Here is a 1,797-nt window from a genome sequence, read left to right as displayed (position 1 = left end):
CATGAAAAAATCAATGTCTGGTTTTCAAAAGAAATTATGAAGTATATAAAGAAACATGAAAGTACTGCCCATTCAAAGTAACAAAATAAACTTACAAAAACAATTTCTGAGAAAGCACAGACACTTAAATTGCTACACAAATGATTTTAAAATAACTGTCTTAAATGTGTCTAAATAACTAAAGGAATCAATAGATCAAGACAAGAAAACAATGAATGAACAAAATGATATCAATCAAGAAAAAGAAATTAAAGAGGAAACCAAAAGGAAACTCTGGAGCTGAGAAATACAATAATGGAAGTGAAAAATTTACTGGAAGATTTCAAAAGCAGATATTAGCAGATAGAAGAAAGAATTGGCAAACCTGAAGAAAGAGTCATTGAAATTATTGAGTCAGTTAAAAAAAAGGAAAAGAAATAAACAGAACCTAAGAAAATTGTAGGGTATTATCAAATAAAACAAAATATACACTGTGGAAGTCTGAGAATGAGAAGAAGGAAAGAAAAGATGCAAAGAATATTTGAAAAACTACTTACAGAAAATAAAAAAAAGTAATAAAGTACATAAATCTACAAATTCAAGAAGCTCAACAAACCCCAAGTAGGATTACCTCAAAAAAACCCACACTAAGACACATTATAATCAAGACGCTCATAGTCAAAACAGTAAGAGAAACTGGAAAACAGAGAAGTGACTCATCATAAATACGTCATTCTTGGTAAGATTATCAGCCAATTTCTTATCTGAAACATTGGAGCCAAAAAGCAGTGGATTGACATAATTGAAGTACTGAAAAAAAAGGTTAATAAAGAATTGTACATCCAGAAAAACTGTCCTTCAAAAATTAGATAGAAATTAGGACATTTTCAGATTTTTAAAATGCAGAGAAAATTTACTATTACCATACCGGCCCTGCAAAATATGCTAAAGAAAATATTTTAGTTCTAAATAGAAGGGTGCTGGGCAGCAATGTGAACACATGTAAAGGAATAAAGATGTGTAGTGAAGGTAAATTCATAACAATTATAAAATATAATATTTTTGTAATTTTGGTTGTGATTCTACTTTTTATTTTTTTTATAATTTAGAGGACAATTGCTTAAAAGACAATTAGTAATCCATGTTATTAAGCACACAATATATAGATATAATTTGTCACCTCAGTAACAGAAAAAGAAGAGTGATGGAACTATATAGCAGTAGAGTTTTTATTCTGTTAATGTTAACAACCAATAAGTCAGAAAAGAAATCGCAAAGGTAATTATAAAATACTTTAAAATCAATAAAAACACAACATGTCAAAACTTTGGAGATTCAGTGAAAGCAAGGCTCAGAGGAAAACTTATACCTATAAACCCCTATATTAGAAAATGATTAGGGGAAAAAAACTGATTTTCTGTATATTCACTCACAACACAGAACTTCCAGCCACCAATATGTGGATGTTTTACCTTCACAATGGTTCAATTTAATTCTCAGCTGACAACAACCGTTTTTCCCACAATTTAATTCAAGTAAGCCGCTAGATACATGACAATAGCATGAGATTCCACAAGTAAAGGGCTTAATCTCACTGCTCTTCTTTCCAGACGCCAGTTGCAAGTAGTGAGTCTCCAGGCTATCCATTAACTACTGTCTGGCTTGGCTACAAATTATGACCCCATTCTCAGGGTGAATAATTTACTAGAGTGACCCACAGGATCTTTCCAGGGGCTGGGCTCTAGCATTATCCAATATTGCTTAGACTGCCTGACACAGTTCGCTAAAGCCTCACTAACTTTCCAGCCTGACTCTCAT

Source organism: Homo sapiens, chromosome 4 (assembly GCF_000001405.40).
Source record: "Homo sapiens chromosome 4, GRCh38.p14 Primary Assembly".
Lineage (NCBI taxonomy): Eukaryota > Metazoa > Chordata > Mammalia > Primates > Hominidae > Homo > Homo sapiens.
Note: the sequence above shows the minus strand (reverse complement) of the source record.